Source organism: Homo sapiens, chromosome 11, assembly GCF_000001405.40.
Source record: "Homo sapiens chromosome 11, GRCh38.p14 Primary Assembly".
In the NCBI taxonomy this organism is placed as follows: domain Eukaryota; kingdom Metazoa; phylum Chordata; class Mammalia; order Primates; family Hominidae; genus Homo; species Homo sapiens.
Genome location: NC_000011.10, coordinates 33,253,638 through 33,271,800, shown reverse-complemented (window position 1 = coordinate 33,271,800; position 18,163 = coordinate 33,253,638). Strand labels below are relative to the sequence as shown.

Sequence of the window (18,163 nt, the reverse complement as noted above, 5' to 3'; positions counted from 1 at the left end):
TTAAATACACCATCAATGTATAAAAAAGAAAGATATTAAGAAAGTTTAAATTTAAGTTGCATATGTAACTAACAGCTAACACATTTTAAGTTTAAAATTAAGTAGCCATTGATCCCATAAATAAAAATGTGCTTCCTCATTAGACTGAAAATGGCTGCAAAGTAGTTACAGTTTACTGATTAGAAATCTATTCTCAAATAGTAACTAAAATTGACTTTATTTATTTATTTATTTTGAGACAGGGTCTTGCTCTGTTGCCCAGGCTGGAATGCAGTGGCACAATCATGCCTCACTGCATCCTAGACCACCAGGGCTCAAGTGATCCTTTCACTTCAACCTCCCTGGTAGCTGTGATTACAGGCTCATGCCACCACACCCGGTTAATTTTTTGTATTTTTGTTAGGATGAGGTCTCACCATGGCTGGTCTCAAACTCTTGGGCTCAAGCAATGTGCCCACCTTGGCCTCTCAAAGTGCTGAGATTACAGTCGTGAGTCACCACACCCAGCCACCATTTTTTAGGCATTTGCACAAGAAACTAGATAGAATCTCAGATATGAAAATAATGATTGCATATTCACTATACATGATGAAATACGCCAAAACATTTATATCATTATTTATCATATTAACAAACACTTAGAATGCTATTTATTCATAGAACCTTGCAATTTGAGTGAATAAAAATTACCACTAAGGCAGTATCATTTACCTGGAATCATACTGCTAGGAATTGGTATACTAGACTAATATAAAACTTAAAGTATTTTGCCATAAAATCATGAAAAGATATATCATTCACATTAACAAGAGGTTAAATTTCAGTATAGCAATCATTTTGAAGTTATTCAATTACTATAAAATTACAAAATATTCAGGGAAAAGAACCTAATTCCTTCAAGTCAGTTAAATGTTTTATCATATGCTTAAAATTAAAATACATGATAACTGGATATAACAATGTTTCCTCTTATTCTTTTTCTTATCACATTTTTTATTCTTTTTTTAATTAGAGACAGGGTTTCACCATGTTGCCCAGGCTGGTCTTGCACTCCTGTGCAAAAGTGATCCACCTACCTCAGCCTCCTAAAGTGCTGGGATTATAGGCATGAGCTACCACACCCAGACTCTAATCAACTATTATTATTTTAAATAGCAGCGTAATGTTCTATCCTATGTGCATATCATAATTTGCTGGACTGCTTTTTTTCCAATTTTTTTCACTGTTCATATAAAGTTGTAATAAGCAGTTTCATACAGTTGTTACACATTCTTTCTTTTTAATATCTTATTTTTACTGTAAGTTTTCATACATTCTCAATTTTCTTAGCCGGGCGTGGTGGCAGGCGCCTGTAATCCCAGCTACTTGGGAGGCTGAGGCAAGAGAATTGCTTGAACCCAGGAGGCGGAAGTTGCAGTGAGCCAAGATCGTGCCATTGCACTACAGCCTGGGTGACAGACTCCGTCTCAAAAAAACAATAAATAAATAAATAAATAAGGTTTCAAACATAAACAAAAGGCAGGCCAGGCATGGTGGCTCACGCCTGTAATCCCAGCACTTCAGGAGGATGAGGCAGGTGGATCACCTGAGGGTCAGGAGTTTGAGACCGGCCTGGCTAACATGGTGAAACCCCATTTCTACTGCAAATACAAAAAATTAGCCAGGCGTCATGGCATGTGCCTGTAATCCCAGCTACTCGGGAAGCTGAGGCAGAGGAATCACTTTCACCTGAGATTCAGAGGTTGCAGTGAGCCAAGGTCACGCCACTGTACTCCAGCTTGGGCAACGAAAGCGAAACTGTCTTAAAAAAATAATAAAAAACCATATACAGGTATACACACACACACACAGGGCAATAGAAATGAGGATGCTAGATAGGGAATCCAGGCAAAGGATTTAGAAATAAGGTAATTCTGAGGTACCTGTAAGGGAAAAATATGGAAATGAATAGGAGGTTCAAAATATGGGTTGAAAGCTAAGAACTGAGTAGGGGACACTGTAAACAATTATCTGAAGGAATACATAAACTATAAATAAAAAAAATACAGGGGAGCTTAGTAGGAGCAATCTCATTAAAGTGGCATAGACAGAACTATACTGCCAAAGGCTATGAAGTGAACAGAAATCCAAGTAGAGGCCAGAGAACACATTTAAGAAGTTTAGAAGAAACAGAAAAAGAAACAGAGGACCCTAGACTTGAAGAGGCACAATTAAAAGATGGTTGCTTAAGATCTCAGATACTTGGGCATGTTAAAAAGCTGAAGGAAAAAGAGTCAATGTTGTACACAATAAATATATATAATTTTACCTGTCAAAAAAAAAGCAGGAAAAAAAACAGAACTTTAAGTTTTTGGACAAGCTCCAGATGTTGAAAAACACAATTCTGGATGAAGCCCACATGGAAAATAGTGAGTAATCTTGGGGGAATGAAGAGATGTTTCTTTCCTTGAGAGAGGAGTGAAATCCCAAAGTGTGTACTGTTGGAATTAAGTCCAGAGGTAAAGGGTTGGAAATCTGGGAGAAGGTCATACCTACTGACCTTTATCAAGGAAAGCGACTCATCTGTTAGAAGTAAAAAAAGAGGCAGGAATAAAGGAGGGTTTTGAGAAGCTAAGTTTGTCGATGACATGTTCACAACTGCTTGGTCAGGTACCTGCCAAGCTATGCAATAAAGATGCTACACGTTGATTAAGGTATGTAAGTTGAGTATCATATGTCTGTATTTGACTCCTTTTATAATAGTAATATATTTGTTTTCCAACATCTATTATACACTTTAGGGAACATAAAAACAGGTAAGAGCATGGTCCCTAAACTTAAGGAACAGTTCAGATACGATTTCATATTTTTAAATGAAAGTATAACATTCCCAAAAATGTTATATATTAACTTCTAATAGGTTAGGAAGTTGAGGTATTTCATTTTCTTCCAATAGAATTAATGCAAAATCATTTCAAGCTAGATAGACCTTCAGATGTAAGATACTTTAAGGAGATTTCAGATTTTGAGATACTTTAAGGAGAAATTATAGAGTGGCCACTAGAAATAGTTTCAGAAATGCCACACTAGGCTTAGAGAAGGCAACTCATAAGGCAAACACTCCCGAAAATTTTCTGTTCAAGGCTACTGGCAATTAATCATGTCATCATACCAAACACCTTTTCATACAAGATTCTTTTTTTAATTTTTTTTTTTTTTTTTTTTTTTTTGGTGACGGAGTCTTACTCTGTTGTCCAAGGTGCAATGCAGTGGTGCAATTCTAGCTCACTGCAGCCTCTAACTCCTAGGTTCAAATGATCTTTCTGTCTCAGTCTCCCGAGTGGCTAGGACTACAGGTATGCACCACCTCACTCAGGTAATTGTATTTTTTATAGAGATGGAGTCTCACTATATACCCAGGCTGGTCTTGAACTCCTGGCTTCAAGCAATCCTCCCACTTCAGCCTCCTAAAGTGCTAGGATTACAGGCTTGAGCCACTACACCCGGCCCAGAATTCAATTTTAAATACACATGTATAAAATATCAAAATGTTGCCAAATTGTCAAATTTAATTAAGAATACTGTTTTTTGTTTGTTTGCTTATTTGTTTTTGAGATGGAGTTTCACTCATCTCCCAAGCTGGAGTGCAGTGGCACCATCTTGGCTCACTGTAACATCCGCCTCCTGGGTTCAAGCAATTCTCCTGCCTCAGGCTCCGGAGCAGCTGAGATTACAGGCGCCCACCACCACACCCGTCTGATTTTTGTATTTTTAGTAGAGATGGGGTTTCACCATGTTGGTCCGGCTGGTCTTGAACTCCTGAGCTCAGGTGGTCTGCCGGCCTCAGTCTCTCAAAATACTGGGATTAAAGGTTTGAGCCACCAAGCTTGGCCAAGAATACTGTATTATATACAATTATACTAGGAGCCAAACAATAAAATACTTGCCATTTTCACATCTCTGCTTTTAAGGACTCCAAGTTAAACACTTTTAAGTTACATAAATGAAATACAAAAATAATATTCCGGCCGGGTACGGTGGCTCATGCCTGTAATCCCAGCACTTTGGGAGGCCGAGGCGGGCGGATCACGAGGTCAGGAGATGGAGACCAGCCGGGCTAACACAGTGAAACCCCATCTCTACTAAAAATACAAAAAGATTTTAGCTGGGCGTGGTGGCGGGAGCCTAGTCCCAGCTACTCAGGAGGCCAAGGCGGGAGAAGGGCGTGAACCTGGGAGGCAGAGCTTGCAGTGAGCCGAGATCACGCCACTGCACTCCAGCCTGGGGGACAGAGCGAGACTCCGTCTCAAAAAAAAAAATAATAATAATAATAATATTCCTTTTGTGTAGTGGTTTCAAGTAAGTTACAGCTAGCAGGTTCAACATTCTTAAAAATACCTTGTAATGTGCGCCGGGCACAGTGGCTCACGCCTGTAATCCCAACACTTTGGGAGGCAAAGGTGGGCGGATCACCTGAGGTCAGGAGTTCCAAACCAGCCTGACCAACATGGTGAAACCCCGTCTCTACTAAAAATACAAAAATTAGCCGGGCGTGGTGGCAGTTGCCTGTAATCTCAAGGCTGAGGCAGGAGAATCGCTTGAACCCAGGAGGCAGAGGTTGCAGTGAGCCCAGATCGCGCCACTGCACTCTAGCCTGGGGGACAGAGCAAGACCCCGTCTCAAAAAAAAAAAACAAAAAGCTGGAAATGTTTTCGCCTTTTGTTTACTTTCCACAGGTTGGCATAGGAATGAGGTTTAAAGGGCTCTACATTCTAAATTTAGGAGAAAGGAAATATGGCTAGAAAGGGCAAGCCTAATAGAATTCCCTCAGGCAATGTGAAAACTGTACAGGTCCAGAAGAAAAAACCACGAGAAAACAAGAGAACTGTATTACTAGCCACATCTGAGAAATATGACCTTCTTTTATTTAAATTAACATACAGTTTATCTCTATAAGATACTTCAACTATAAAACTGATTAGCCTTAATGAAAACACTTGTCACAAGATAAAACTGGTAATATTTTTTTCCATCAGGACTTGGCAAAGTTTAAAAAAAAATGAATAAAGTTAAAAATTAGGGTTTTTTGGTTTTTTGTTTGTTTGTTTTTGAGATAAGGTCTCACTCTGTCTCCAAGGCTACAGTGCAGTGGCGCAATCATGGTTTACTTACTGCAGCATCGACCTCCCTGGGCTCAGGCAATCCTCCCACCTCAGCCTCTCCAATAGCTAGGACCACAAGCATGCACCACCATGCCTGAATAACTTTTGTATTTTCTTTGTTTTTCGGTAGGAAAAGGTTTCTGCATGTTGCACAAGCTGGTCTCAGACTCCTGGCCTCAAGGGATCCACCCACTTCAGCCTCCCAGAGTGCTGGGATTACAGAAGTGTTCATATTTTTCAATGACTTATTTTGATTTTACCCACTGCAAGAACAGCAGTGAATAACACACAACTTTAACATGAATGCTACTATTTTAATATCATTTATTTAAATATTTCATTTTAATAAAGTAAACAGCCTAGAAGTTTGAATGTGCTATTGTTAATCATTTTTCTTAAGCAGTGTTTTTCTAACTTAGGTGCACATATACAAATATAAAAGAAAATTTACAGTATTCAGCTAATTTCACTTATCATATACTTGCTCAAAGCTGGGACCACGTGTTAGTCTCTTCGTTCACTGCACAGTACCTTGCACTTAGTGGACGTTCAAATATATACTAGATAAAATAGGTTTGTTTTCTTTTTTTTTTTTTTTTTTGAGATGGAGTCTCACTCTGTCGCCCAGGCTCACTGCAAACTCCACCTCCCGGGTTCACGCCATTCTCCTGCCTCAGCCTCCCGAGTAGCTGGGACTACAGGTGCCCACCACCACACCCAGCTAATTTTTTTGTTTTTAGTAGAGTCTGGGTTTCACCATGTTAGCCAGGATGGTCTCGACCTCCTGACCTCATGACCCACCCGCCTCGGCCTCCCCAAGTACTGGGATTACAGGCGTGAGCCACCGTGCCCGGCCCATTTTGCTTTTTTTTTTTTTTTTTTTTTTTGAGACAAGGTCTCACTCCATCACTCAAGCTGGATTGCAGTGGTACGATCTTAGCTCACTGCAGCCTCGACCTCCTGGGCTCAAGTAATCTCGCACCTCAGCCTCCCCAGTAGCTGGGGCTACAGGTGCACACCACCATGCCCAGCTAGTTTTTGTATTTTTTGTAGAGATGGGGTTTCACCATGTTGCCCCGTCTGGTCTTGAACTCCTGTGCTCAAGCGATCCACACACCACAGCCTCCCAAAGTGCTGGGATTACAGGCATGAGCCACCGTGCCTGGCCAATAAGATAAATAGTTTTCATACAAATATTTTATCATTACCCGTCATAATAAAATTTCTATCTTTTTTGTGGCCACAGTCTGTGATCAGCTACAAAAAATATTTAAAGCACATTAAACAATGATTACAAATCCACTATTTTTGAACCCAATATTATTCTTACCTAACTTTAAAATACAAAACTACAACCAATATACTGCAGAGACATCTTACTGTCTCCATTGAAAATGTCTTATTAGAAGTTGGCCCAAAACATTCTTATTTGGCTTTGAGAATATAGCACAGCATCATAGCTATAGGTTATATAGCAGCATAACCTGTAATTTTCATTGTGATTTTATGTCACTACACCCTATTTAAACTCAATAGAAAGTGTAATAAATTACATACCTAGAGCCTTCAGAAGTATTAATTTAAGTCATTCTTTGGAAGAAATGTCTAGAAAGTCAGGTTCAGTTTTCAATGTTATCACTCTAATCTATCTCATTAACTATTTAAAACTGTAGCATTATATATCTAAAGTTGTATAGTTTACCAAACCTACCAGACTCTCTGTATTATTAAAGAGATAACATGTAATTGAAATATGCTTTTAAAAAGTTGAAACAGATTTTAAAATTGGCACTTTTAGGCCTTTATATGCCAATTTATAGGGTAGGAAATATTTAATAAGCAAAGTTATATCCTGCAAATGTTTTCAAGTTCACTATTTTGTTTTTAAAAACTCTAAAATATTTTGTATGCTTATAAATAATATACAACCAAGTAGGGGGAAGTTAAAGAATTTGAAATAAACATTTTTTGTTTTTAGCAAATCAAATACTTTCTAAAATTTCCACAGTAAAATAACTGTCTAGCCAAATACAGCCAAGTTTTTATTTTCTAGCATCCTTAAGACAATTTTCTTGGTAATCCATATTAAATCAAATATAATTTATAAAAGCTACAAAATGTTTAGGGTGAGGAGCTCGCCTCATACTCTATTGATTTCAATGCCTATCAAATCTAAACTGTTTTTTTTCCAACTAGATTAGAAATGGAAAAGTTTCTGATCTTGGAACTTGCCTGATCTTGGAGGCTAAGCAGGGTCAGACCTCATCAGTACTTGGATGGGAAAAGGTGTTCCAGCATAAACAATTACTCAAAATAAAAAGAAATTCTATCTCACCAGCCTTGGCAATCCTTTGCGTTCAACATGATCAAGAATTATATGAAAGAATAAGTCTTTCACAACTTAGAAGTACAGCTCAAATGAGCAAATACTACATTTTCCTTTATTATGCTTCTCTAAATATCCACTTTAAGTGTGACCTTTTTGTTTAAAAAAAAAAAAGACAAGGTTAGCAGCGAAGAAAATGCAAGGTAAAAGTGTACCTAGAAATCTAGTCTTTAAGAGATATTTATCTCAGAAGAAGGTGAAAAGGACTGTGTGACAGACATAGATATCAGAAGTCTGAGTTTTAATTCATACATGATGTATCTTAGTTTTATTTTTTAAGATCTCCAGAAACTAAAAGGATATATCCTATAACTCAAACTCATTTTAACAGCAATATTATGTTCTATAGTCTTCACACTTGCAGCTTCAGATTAGTCCTGGAACATAAGACTTTTTTTTGTTTTAATTGTAGAAAAAGCTTATCTTCCCCAAACTCCACCTTAAGGAAAAGTCTCTCAGATTGAAGAAACAAAAGACAGAAAGAGGAAGGGGTTGGGGGAGGGATTTTAAAAACTGAGGTCAAGGATGATAAACAGAGATGCTATTATTTCACAAGACTGATCACTTAGCAGGCTACTGACTTAATCTTTCCCTCAAGCTATTACAATTTTTCACTAAGTGAACTCTGGGCTCCAGCAACTTGGACATTTAAAATCATAGCAGCCAGGCGCGGTGGCTTACTGTAATCCCAGCACTTTGGGAGGCCAAGGTGGGCAGATCACTTGAGGCCAGGAGTTTGAGACCACCCTGGACAACATGGCAACATCCCATCTCTACTAAAAATACAAAAATTAGCCAGGTGTGGTGGCAGGCACCTGCAATCCCAGCTACTCAGGAGGCTGAGACATGAGAATCACTTGAACCCCGGAGGCGGAGGTTGTAGTGAGCCAAGATCGCACCACTGCACTCCAGCCTGGTGACAGAGCGAGGCCCTGTCTCAAAAATTAATTAATTAATTAAAGCAGATTTCAGTCTCTCAAATCCAATTAAACCAAGCTCTTCTCCCTTCTACTGTCCAGTCTCCCCTGCCTCACCACCCACTCTCCCACTCAGTCTCCTACAGAATGGGAAAGGTCTCATTATTTTAGAAAATTAGAGAAATTGGGCCGGGCACAGTGGCTCATGCCTGTGATCCCAGCACTTTGGGAGGCCAAGGCAGAAGGATCGCTTGGGCCCAGGAGTTCAAGACCAGCCAGAGCAACAAAGCACAACCCCGTCTCTACAAAAAATGAAAAAATTCAAGGTGTCAGCAAGACCATGTTAGAAAGACAGAAAAAGAAATGAAAAAGTTAGCAGACATGGTGGCGATACCTCCTGTAGTCTCAGCTATTTGGAGACTGAGGCAGAAGGATCTCCTGAGCTCAGGAGGTTGAGGCTGCAGTGAGCTATGATCATACCACTATACTCCAGCCCAGGCCATGGAGCAAAACCCTGTCTGTAAATGAAAAAAATAAATACAAAAATAGAAAAAATAAATATAAAAAGAGAAAAGAACAAATATAAAAATTAGAGAAATTAGTTTAAAGTAACAAAATACATTTAAGGTCAAAAATATGGTCCTCAGTTTGCTCCATTTCAAGGACTTTCTGTTGAAAAGAGCCTTCTCAAGTACTAACTTGGCATTAACTGCCAAATATAAAAGACAAAATAAATCTGCTTAATAACTTAACTGTCTCCAAACCACAAATGCTGTCCTAAAAATACAATACATATTGACAATATTCATCCAGTTGTTTTAATTTCCACACAGTAAGAACAGAGGCTCTAGGTCCCTGGCATAACAGTGGTGTCTCAGAATCCAGACAATATGCTGCCTTTGTTTAGTAACATATGTTCCAAGTATCAACTGAGAACAGCCTGGTCTGCCAAAAAGCTCAAGGTTTCATTTGACAAACTTATAAATGTGTAACATACATCCTCCAAATATCTATTCTATCTTTGTCCTACAAGTGACTAAGACAAGGTCCCAAAGAACATCTATGGCAAAGCTACAGAAGCAGCACACTAATATTAAGTTGTTCTTCCTCCAAACCACTCTTAACTACATACCAAGCCAACCAAAAGAAGTGACATTCTTCCTTAAGTAGGCCACATAAGTACTGACTATCCTAAAAGCCTCCACTGACTCAGTACTTCTCCAAATATATATTCTTAATATAAGGTGCTTAAGTATTAGGCAAGATATATATTTTTAAGCAGCTGGATCCAGAACCAGTTAGGACATTTAAAATAATTCCTTTACACATGAACAGACACTCTTCAAAAGACATACGTGTGGCCAACAAGCACATGAAAAAAAGGTTATCACTGATCATTACAGAAATGCAAATCAAAACCATGAGATACCATCTCACACCAGTCAGAGTGGCTATTATTAAAAGTCAAAAAATAACAGATGCTGATGAGGTTGCAGAGAAAAGGGGAGGCTGATACACTGTTGGTGGGAATGTAAATTAGTTCAGCCACTGTGGAAAGCAGTGTGGTGACTCCTCAAAGAGCTAAAAACAGAACTACCATTGGACCCAGCAATCCCATTACTGGGTATATATCCAAAGAAATATACATTGTTTTATCATAAAGACACATGCATGTATATGTTCACTGTAACACTATTCACAAGGGCAAAGACATGGAATCAACCTAAATGTTCATCAATGGGAAGACTCGATTTTTTAAAAATATGCTACATATGTACCATGGAATACTATGCAGCCATAAAAAAAGAATGATGTCATGTCCTTTGCAGGAACATGGATGGGGCTGGAGGCCATCATCCTTAATAAATAATGCAGGAACAGAAAACCAAATACCACACATTCTCACTTATAAGTGGAAGCTAAATGATGAGAACACATGGACACAAAGAGGGGAACAACAGACACTGGGACCTACCAGATGGTGGAGGATGAGAGGAGGGAGAAGAGCAGAAAAAATAACTATTGGGCACTAGGCTTAGTCCCTGAGTGACAAAATAATCCGTACATCAAACACACATGACACAAGTTTACCTATATAACAAACCTGCACATGCTCCCCTGAACCTAAAAGTTTAAAAAGAAAAAAAAATACATATATATTTATATATAATATATATTTTATATAATGTATTATATATATTTATATAATATATTTTATATTTTATATATAATATATATTTTATGTATATATATATACATATAATCCCTTTAGACTTACACCGGTATCACAAAAGATTCTCCATGACAAAGCTTTCAGCAAGTTAAAAAAGAGAAATACTACATCCCAGTGAAAAGTGTTGGGGGGGAATAATACCTTTTAAAAAATAAACACACTGATAGAGTCATCCATTTTAACAAAGTTTTAGTAGTTTGTCTTCAGAAGTAACTTCCAAGTTAAACATACTACATTGGGAGTCTCAACTTTGGACATCAGAAAACCAGGACAGCTACAACACGAATATTTATTTTGGCAACAATAAATCAAGTTATTCTGTGTCCTCTAAGAGTTAAGAGTCAGGAATAACAACTTCTGGAAGGATATTTAAATATGGAGAATTTCCTTAGAATATCTTTGAATCTAAATATTACCATGACATCTTTTCATCTCCAAACTTAAATGTGAGGTTCCAATGGGAACTACATTTTTATGCCTTTGAATTAACCACCAATAGTGCAATTCTAATTTACCTTATCATCATACTTGGTAAACTGTTGCTATGAAAATAACATTTAATAAGTTAACTCTCTTACCTGGTAAAATAAAGTTAACTTCAAAAGTTACCAGGATAAGTCGTACTAGCATTCAAATAAAAAATAACATGCAAACAAGCATTCCATGAAATGGATGTGAATCAGGTCTGAAAAATAATATTGCGGCATTCTGAAATTTACATTTTCCCTTTCCTCCTTTCCATATGCTTTCAGGTTCATGCATCAAATATTAAAAACAAAAGTTCAATCAAAAAATTAATTTGATAGCTGCTGCTTTTTTAAGTTGCAGGGGGTGCAGGGAGGCTCTCCATATCTTGCATTAAACATAAAAACCTATGTGCCCACGCCATACTTGCAACAGCAACCTACGTCTGTAATTTACACCCTATTTTATGGTATCCAAAAAGTTAAGAGTATGATCTACAGCTTCTTTTCAAACATGTTTACAAGAAGAAGTATCTCATATAAACCATCCATTTTAATGTGACTCTAAAATCCCATGCCCAAAAGCCAATGACCAGTTTATAAGCAAGGTAATGACTAGTTCAATGGAAAATATATTTTGACAATAAACTAAGTAAGGCTGACTTATCATGTTATGATCTGCTTGCCTAATATGTATGTTTAGCTACTGTAGTCAGCAATGCCCAAATATAAAGTTGAAACATTTAATGGCCAGTTCTGTTCTAGATTTCAAACTCATCTTACTTTTTTACAACAGTTTTAATCTAAGGTTCTCCACAAATACTTTTTTCTTAGAAAAGAGATCCCCTTGGGGCGGGGGGCGGGAGGCAGAGGGGGGGATTAAGGAACAAATTTTTCCATAAGTACAAAAAAAAAAAGACATGCCCAAACATCACAAATATTTCAACACATCTCTGCCTTAACATAAATTTTAAATAAGTAAATTTCAAAAAAGAAAAATCTCAAACAGGTTAAGCATTATAGTTCAGAAATAAAAGTCCTCTACACTTTATGAATGCAGCCATAAATACACCAAGAAATATTTCATTGACTTAAAACTAAATAACTGTATCTGGCTGGTAAAATTGCAATTACTGATAAGTGGCACGAAAGCATAAGATAATCAATAAAACTATGAAAACTTTTTTTACAAAAGGTCAGTCATATTTTGTTTACTTAAAATACTAAGTTTAATCATGACCTATCTAAACCTTATCATTGCTCATTGTATAAAATTAGCACTGCACTTGCAAACATAAGCAGAATCTAGACTTATCAAACATATGGTGAGACTTCACCAGCTTCTGAAAAATTAAATAATATAGGATTAAAATGTCTTAGTTGGGTAAGCAGTAACCACCGTTACGGCTCAAGACTTTTCATCAAAAATTTGATCAGAAAGGAAACCTCTTTAAAAATTTTAAAGAGCCCAGCAACTAAAACTTTGAAATTAACTGAGATGGTTTGAATGAATATAAGTACTCCCACTTCAGAAGCTACAGCTAAAAGCAAATACCTAAAATAGCAAAAAGGGAAAAAGTGTCAGCAGATCTCCAAACTACTAGAAAGTACGCAAAAGCACACGCAGACTGGTTTGCCAGCTAACTTTTCCGGCCCTGTACCAGACAGACATCAAAACAAAGTTTACAATAGAGCCAACCATGCGCTTTCCCTCTAAACTGGACGATAAACTGAAATTTTTTGCTGTTGCTAATAGAAGCCCCTTATTATAATTAGAAGCAGCCAACTGACAGGTGGAAAAACAAATTCCCTAACAGGGCAGTAAGAGGTTGTGAAAACACGGTTCAAGGCCTGAACGTGTTACGACTACTCTGTAACAAGTCCAAGGTAATTTACGCACACACTCTTCAGCGCAATTCCTCAAGCAGAGATGAGACGGGAACAACAGGATTCCCCGAGAGCCACATACCATTTTACAACAGCCGTCTCCCTCCCGACAGAGAAACAGACATTTTCATCCAAAGTCTTTCCGCCAGTTCTCCCAGTGCGGCGAAGGGAAGCGGGCGGCAGCCACCGTAACGAGAGAAGCCGGCAACAGCCCCGCCGCGCGGCCGCCACGCCTTCCTCCCGCCGCCGCTGGGGACGCGGAGCCGCGGATCACATTTCTCCTCCCCAACAATCACACACACGCACGCACGTCCCCAGAGTTGACACCCTGCAAACCCGCTGCTCCGCGACGCTGGGGACGGGGCCACAAAGCCCGGGACGCGGCCATCGGCTGGGGTGCTCAAGCTGCGTGCCTGCGCGTTTGTTTGTTCCCCTTAATGAAAGGAAAGGGATCTCCGTAGTTACGGCCTAGGACTGCGGAGGGGGAAGAGAGGCTCCCCGTGGGACTAAACAAAACTTCGGTTGCTGGGAAGAGCCGTTGCGCAACCTTGGCAGGGGGAGGGGGGGCCGAGGCCCCCGGGCCCCGGCCAGGCGCGGCTTCCCGGAGGCTACGGCCCCCGCGTCCGGCGGCCCAGGGCCTGGCGTGGCGCCGGCTTCGAGGGAGCGGCTCATACCGGGCCACACTGCAGGGGCTAGGGCGGAAACTGGGAGCACGAGAGCGCTGGGGATGCGGATGGGGCACGGGACGCGCAATGAGTGCGGGCTGCGCCGGAGGTGTCGGGCCAGGCCCGGGTCAGGCTTGGGGTCCGCTGGCCGCGGAGCCCGCAGACGGAGCCGATCCCCCCACCCCGGGGTGGCGGCGCCCCTCGCTCGACTCCCTTACCTTCCTAGAGGCCCGCGCTCTCTCCTCTTCGGGCGGCCGCAGCCCTGAGCATGTCCGGGGTGGGGCGCAGGGCCGTGCCGGGGACCGGGAGCCAGGCGCTTCAGCAGGCGGCACCACCCAGCCCGGGCTCAGCCCCTCTCCGCGGCCGCTGCCATCTTGTCCTGGCGGCTGAGAGGAAACGGCGAAACACCCTCCCCCGACCGCTGCTGCTGCTGCTGCTGCTCTGGCTGCTAAGCGCCGGGCCCGTCTCCCTCATCTTCCTTCCCGGGGATTTGGGGTGGGGACGGCTTGGCTAGGGCGAGGGGTAGTGGGAGGCCGGTCGGCCTCCGGCTACTGGGGCCTACGGGCGACGCAGGGTGCGGGGCCCACGGCGATTGGGGCCCATTCCTGACGCCCCGGCCGGGAGCGGAGAAGGAAGACTGGCGGGAGTGGTGGCGACGGCGGGGCCTGCGGCTTGATCTCCTCAGGTCGCCGCGATGCCGGCAGTCGTCACTGAGGCAGCTGCCACCAGCCGCCCCAGCCTCGGGCCCCTCCTCCGCGCTCGTCGGCCTCGGCCACCGCCTCCGCAGCGCCACCGCCCGCCCGGCAGCGCTGCGCGCCCAGCCCGGGCGGCTCCGCTCCGCTCCGGCCGCGGCGCCTCCGTGAAGCCCCTCCCCGGGGTCCGCCCGCCAGTCCGCAGCCGCGCCCTTGTTGCCCGGAGCCCGCCTGCCAGCCCGTGCGGCCCCAACCCGGAGTCCCGCAAGCCAAGCCTCCCGCGAAAGAAGCATCCGTCAGCCCGGCTCTGCTGTTCTGAACCTCACTCCATGCCCCCTCCGCCAGAAATACACATTTTTAAAAAAGATCCCAATACCCGAAGAAAGGATGAAGATGCGGAAGCAGGATTTTACAGGCCTTTCGAGATCCCGGAACCGTAATTAAGGATCTGTTTCTCGGCATTTGGTCGTTAAAGGTCCCAAAATAAGTAAAGGGGAAATGCTCAAATGAACGACCTCAATCTAAACTAGGTTCTACCCGCTCCCCTATCCCAAAGAGTGAAGAGAATTGTAAAGCCAGGTTCAAGGACGGGGGAAGGGTCCTCTTGGAAATTTTAAGAGCATCTCTACTGTCCAAAACCCCATAATTGTGAAGTTCGCCCACCTCCACATTGGTAATTCTCCGTTAAATTAGTCGGTTTAACTCCCAAAGACTAGTTTCTTTCCTCCTGGAGATTAGGAAATCAACAGAATGGCCTGTTTCAGCTTACATAATCGTGGAACCATAGAATTTTAGGAATGAAAGAAGCTTTGCGATCCTTGGTCCCAACTCTTACACTCAGGAGTTCCAAGAAGTTTAGGTGACATGACCAAGGTTATACAGTAAAGCCCATGTCTCCCACCCCATCTTTCCTCCTTTTCCCTAGGAAACAAATGGCTTTCTAATACCTCACATTCAGAGTTGATTTTCTTTTATACCCGTTTCCTCAGGTTCCCTTTGTTCTGAATCAATGTCTAACCTTTTGGGAAACAAACACCTTTCTGGAATGGAAGTGTCCTTTCTTTGTTTCCTTCATAATCTTCACTAGCAAGATTGAATTTACCAGAGATGTATTTATTCCCAGAAATTTTCTATTGCAGTAACTGGGGCAGGGCAAAGGGAGTGGCAAATTGCTGCATACATAATACACATTTAATCCCTGCTGCTCTTCAAACCGGAAGATGAGTATTTTGGATAATGCCTTTAAGAGACAAAGGAGGCCGGGCGCGGTGGCTCGCACATGTAATCCCAGCACTTTGGGAGGCTGAGGCGGGTGGATCACCTGTGGTCAGGAGTTCAAGACCAGCCTGGCCAACATAGTGAAACCTGGTCTCTACTAAAAATGCAAAAATTAGCTGGGCGTGGTGGCGGGCGCCTGTAATCCCAGCTACTCGAGAGCTGAGGTAAGAGAATCGCTTGAATCGCTTGAGCCACTGCACTCCAACCTGGGCGACAGGGAGAGACTCTGTCTCAAAAAATAAAATAAAAGAGAAAGGATAGTATGCCCTGAGGCCACTGGAAATAACACTTTCGAATGACAGTTGTTTTCAGGTTAGAGAGGATAACCAGCTGAAAAGGCTTCCAATATAGAAGAACAAAACAATGGCTGCCTTTCAGAGAGATAGCCTATGAACCATTCCTTTTCACTTAGTATTTCGTTACTTTTTATTTTTCTTAAGAACAATAGTCAAAAGAATCAAAGAGGATAAAATCATTTACTCAACGGAGAAAGCTACAATAGTAGAAAAATCTGTCAGGAGGAACAGAGAAACTATTCCACTAGAACTTCAAATTTCAGAATTTTTGCAGACATTTAAGGAGGCCATCTCTAATGGAAGGCTTCCATTCCCTGTATTTGCTACATCCATGAAGAGATGGAAATGAGAGACAAGGATTTATTTTCCTTTCTATCTCCTGCATGTTGCTACTCACTACACTATATATTCCAGGAGGGGATTCATTCATCTTTTTTTTTTTTTAGATGAAGTCTCGCTCTATTGCCAGGGTTCAAGCAATTCTCCTGCTTCAGCCTCCCGAATAGCTGAGACTACAGGCATGCCCCACCATACCCAGCTAATTTTTGTACTTTTAGCAGAGACGGGGTTTTACCATGTTGGCCAGGATGGTCTCGATCCCTTGACCTCGTGCTCTGTCCACCTCAGCCTCCCAAAGTGTTGGGATTACAGGCATGAGCCACCACGCCCGGCCTCATCTTTTTTTTTAACCATTATATTGCAAGTGCCTAATACAGTGCCTGACTTGTGGTAAGACCTTAGTAAATGTTGCAAAATAAGTAAATGATATATTCCAGCCCCCCTTCACTTTATACCTATTGTCTCCTAACCTAATTTCTTTACCTCTAATCTCTTCCCCTTCAAATCTTTCTTTTTTTGAGGCACGATATCAGCTCCTCTGCCTCCCAGGTTCAGGCGATTCTCCTGCCTCAGCCTCCCAAGTAGCTGGGACTGCAACTTCCGCCTCCCAGGTTCAGGCGATTCTCCTGCCTCAGCCTCCCAAGTAGCTGGGACTACAGGCCCGTGCCACCACGCCCAGCTAATTTTTTGTATTTGTAGTAGAGATGGGGTTTCACCATGTTAGCCAGGATGGTCTTGATCTCCTGACCTGACAGAGTCTAATTTTGTCACCCAGGCTGGAGCACAGTGGTGTGATCTCCATTCACCACAGCCTCAACTCCCTGGGCTCAAGGGATCCATCCACCTCAGCCTCCCACCTAACTGGGATTACAGACACGCACCACCACAGCCAGCTATTTTTTTTTTATTTTTAGTATGGAGATGCGGTTTCATTATGTTGGCCAGACTGGTCTGGAACTCCTGGCCTCAAGTGATCCGCCCACCTCAGCCTCCCAAAAGTGCTGGGATTTCAGGTGTGAGCCACTGCGCCTGGCTTTCAAATCTATTCTGAACACAAACATCTAGATAATCTCCCAAAGCCCCTAATGTAGCTATTTTACAAAGTTTGAGGGTTGTTTTTTTTTTTTAAGGAAAATTTCTCATAGTGCTAAGATCTCTCAAAAATGCAGGCTGGGGGAGGGCATGGTAGCTCACATCTGTAATCCCAGCACTTTGGGAAGCTGAGGTTGGGGGATTGCTTGAGCCCATGAGTTCCAGGCTGCAGTGAGCTGTGATTTCGCCACTGCACTCCAGGCTAAGTGACAGAGCAAGATCTTGCCTCTAAAAAATAAAACAGGAAGATACTAAAGAAAACCTTAATGTTTTCATTCAAAAAAATTACTTAAGGGCCAGACTTGGTGGCTCACACCTGTAATTCTATCACTGAGCAAGACCTAGCCTCTTCAAAAACCCCTCTCTCTCTACAAAAAATACAAAAACTAGCCTGGCCTGGTGGTGCACGCCTGTAGTCCCAGCTACTCGGGAGGCTGAGATGGGCCCTGAGGCTGCAGTGAGTTGTGATCACACCACTGCACTCCAGCCTGGGCGACAGAGTAAGACCCTGTCTCTGAGTAAGTAAGTAAGTAAATAAACAAATAAAATCCTTCACAGAACTAGCCCACAAGGAACTCAATCAACTTTTTGTCTCCTTACTCCAGCCACTCTCTGGAGCTCCGTAGGTGCCTGGATCACCTTCTGCCTGAAACATTCCTCAAGTATAGCCATCCACCTTTCTTTCCTGTCCTTACTCAAATATTGCCTTCATGGTGAAGCCTCCTCTTCAGCGATGACCACCTATATTTACATTCCCTGTCTTTATCTTTCTC

The 18,163-nt window shown here is 42.0% G+C and overlaps 1 protein-coding gene across 6 annotated transcripts in view, besides 5 other annotated features; it reads right to left on the bottom strand.

Annotated features, from left to right (window-relative positions):
* HIPK3 (homeodomain interacting protein kinase 3) overlaps window positions 1-15,129 on the bottom strand; it is a 100,352-nt gene extending 85,223 nt beyond the window's left edge. For 2 of the 6 annotated variants that reach the window (NM_005734.5, NM_001048200.3), the window contains exon 1: window positions 13,912-14,420. Coding sequence is in view for 2 of the 6 variants with exons in the window: in XM_047426223.1 (XP_047282179.1) it covers window positions 13,365-13,416 (52 nt within the window). In the remaining 4 variants the exon portion in view is untranslated. Of the gene's footprint in view, window positions 1-13,110; window positions 13,511-13,911; window positions 14,421-15,048 lie in introns of those variants that run through there. The other 4 variants (XM_047426223.1, XM_047426224.1, NM_001278163.2 and 1 more) reach the window with 3 other exon arrangements.
* Window positions 12,946-13,035: an enhancer, noted in NCBI's record as "active region_4576". NCBI's record gives its function as "activates an Ori minimal core promoter by ATAC-STARR-seq in GM12878 lymphoblastoid cells {active_cell/tissue: GM12878}" and the evidence as "EXISTENCE:reporter gene assay evidence [ECO:0000049][PMID:35858748]".
* Window positions 13,076-13,125: an enhancer, noted in NCBI's record as "active region_4575". NCBI's record gives its function as "activates an Ori minimal core promoter by ATAC-STARR-seq in GM12878 lymphoblastoid cells {active_cell/tissue: GM12878}" and the evidence as "EXISTENCE:reporter gene assay evidence [ECO:0000049][PMID:35858748]".
* Window positions 13,466-13,665: a silencer, noted in NCBI's record as "silent region_3234". NCBI's record gives its function as "represses an Ori minimal core promoter by ATAC-STARR-seq in GM12878 lymphoblastoid cells {active_cell/tissue: GM12878}" and the evidence as "EXISTENCE:reporter gene assay evidence [ECO:0000049][PMID:35858748]".
* Window positions 13,736-14,075: a silencer, noted in NCBI's record as "silent region_3233". NCBI's record gives its function as "represses an Ori minimal core promoter by ATAC-STARR-seq in GM12878 lymphoblastoid cells {active_cell/tissue: GM12878}" and the evidence as "EXISTENCE:reporter gene assay evidence [ECO:0000049][PMID:35858748]".
* Window positions 14,336-14,665: a silencer, noted in NCBI's record as "silent region_3232". NCBI's record gives its function as "represses an Ori minimal core promoter by ATAC-STARR-seq in GM12878 lymphoblastoid cells {active_cell/tissue: GM12878}" and the evidence as "EXISTENCE:reporter gene assay evidence [ECO:0000049][PMID:35858748]".
* Window positions 15,130-18,163: the final 3,034 nt, after the last annotated feature.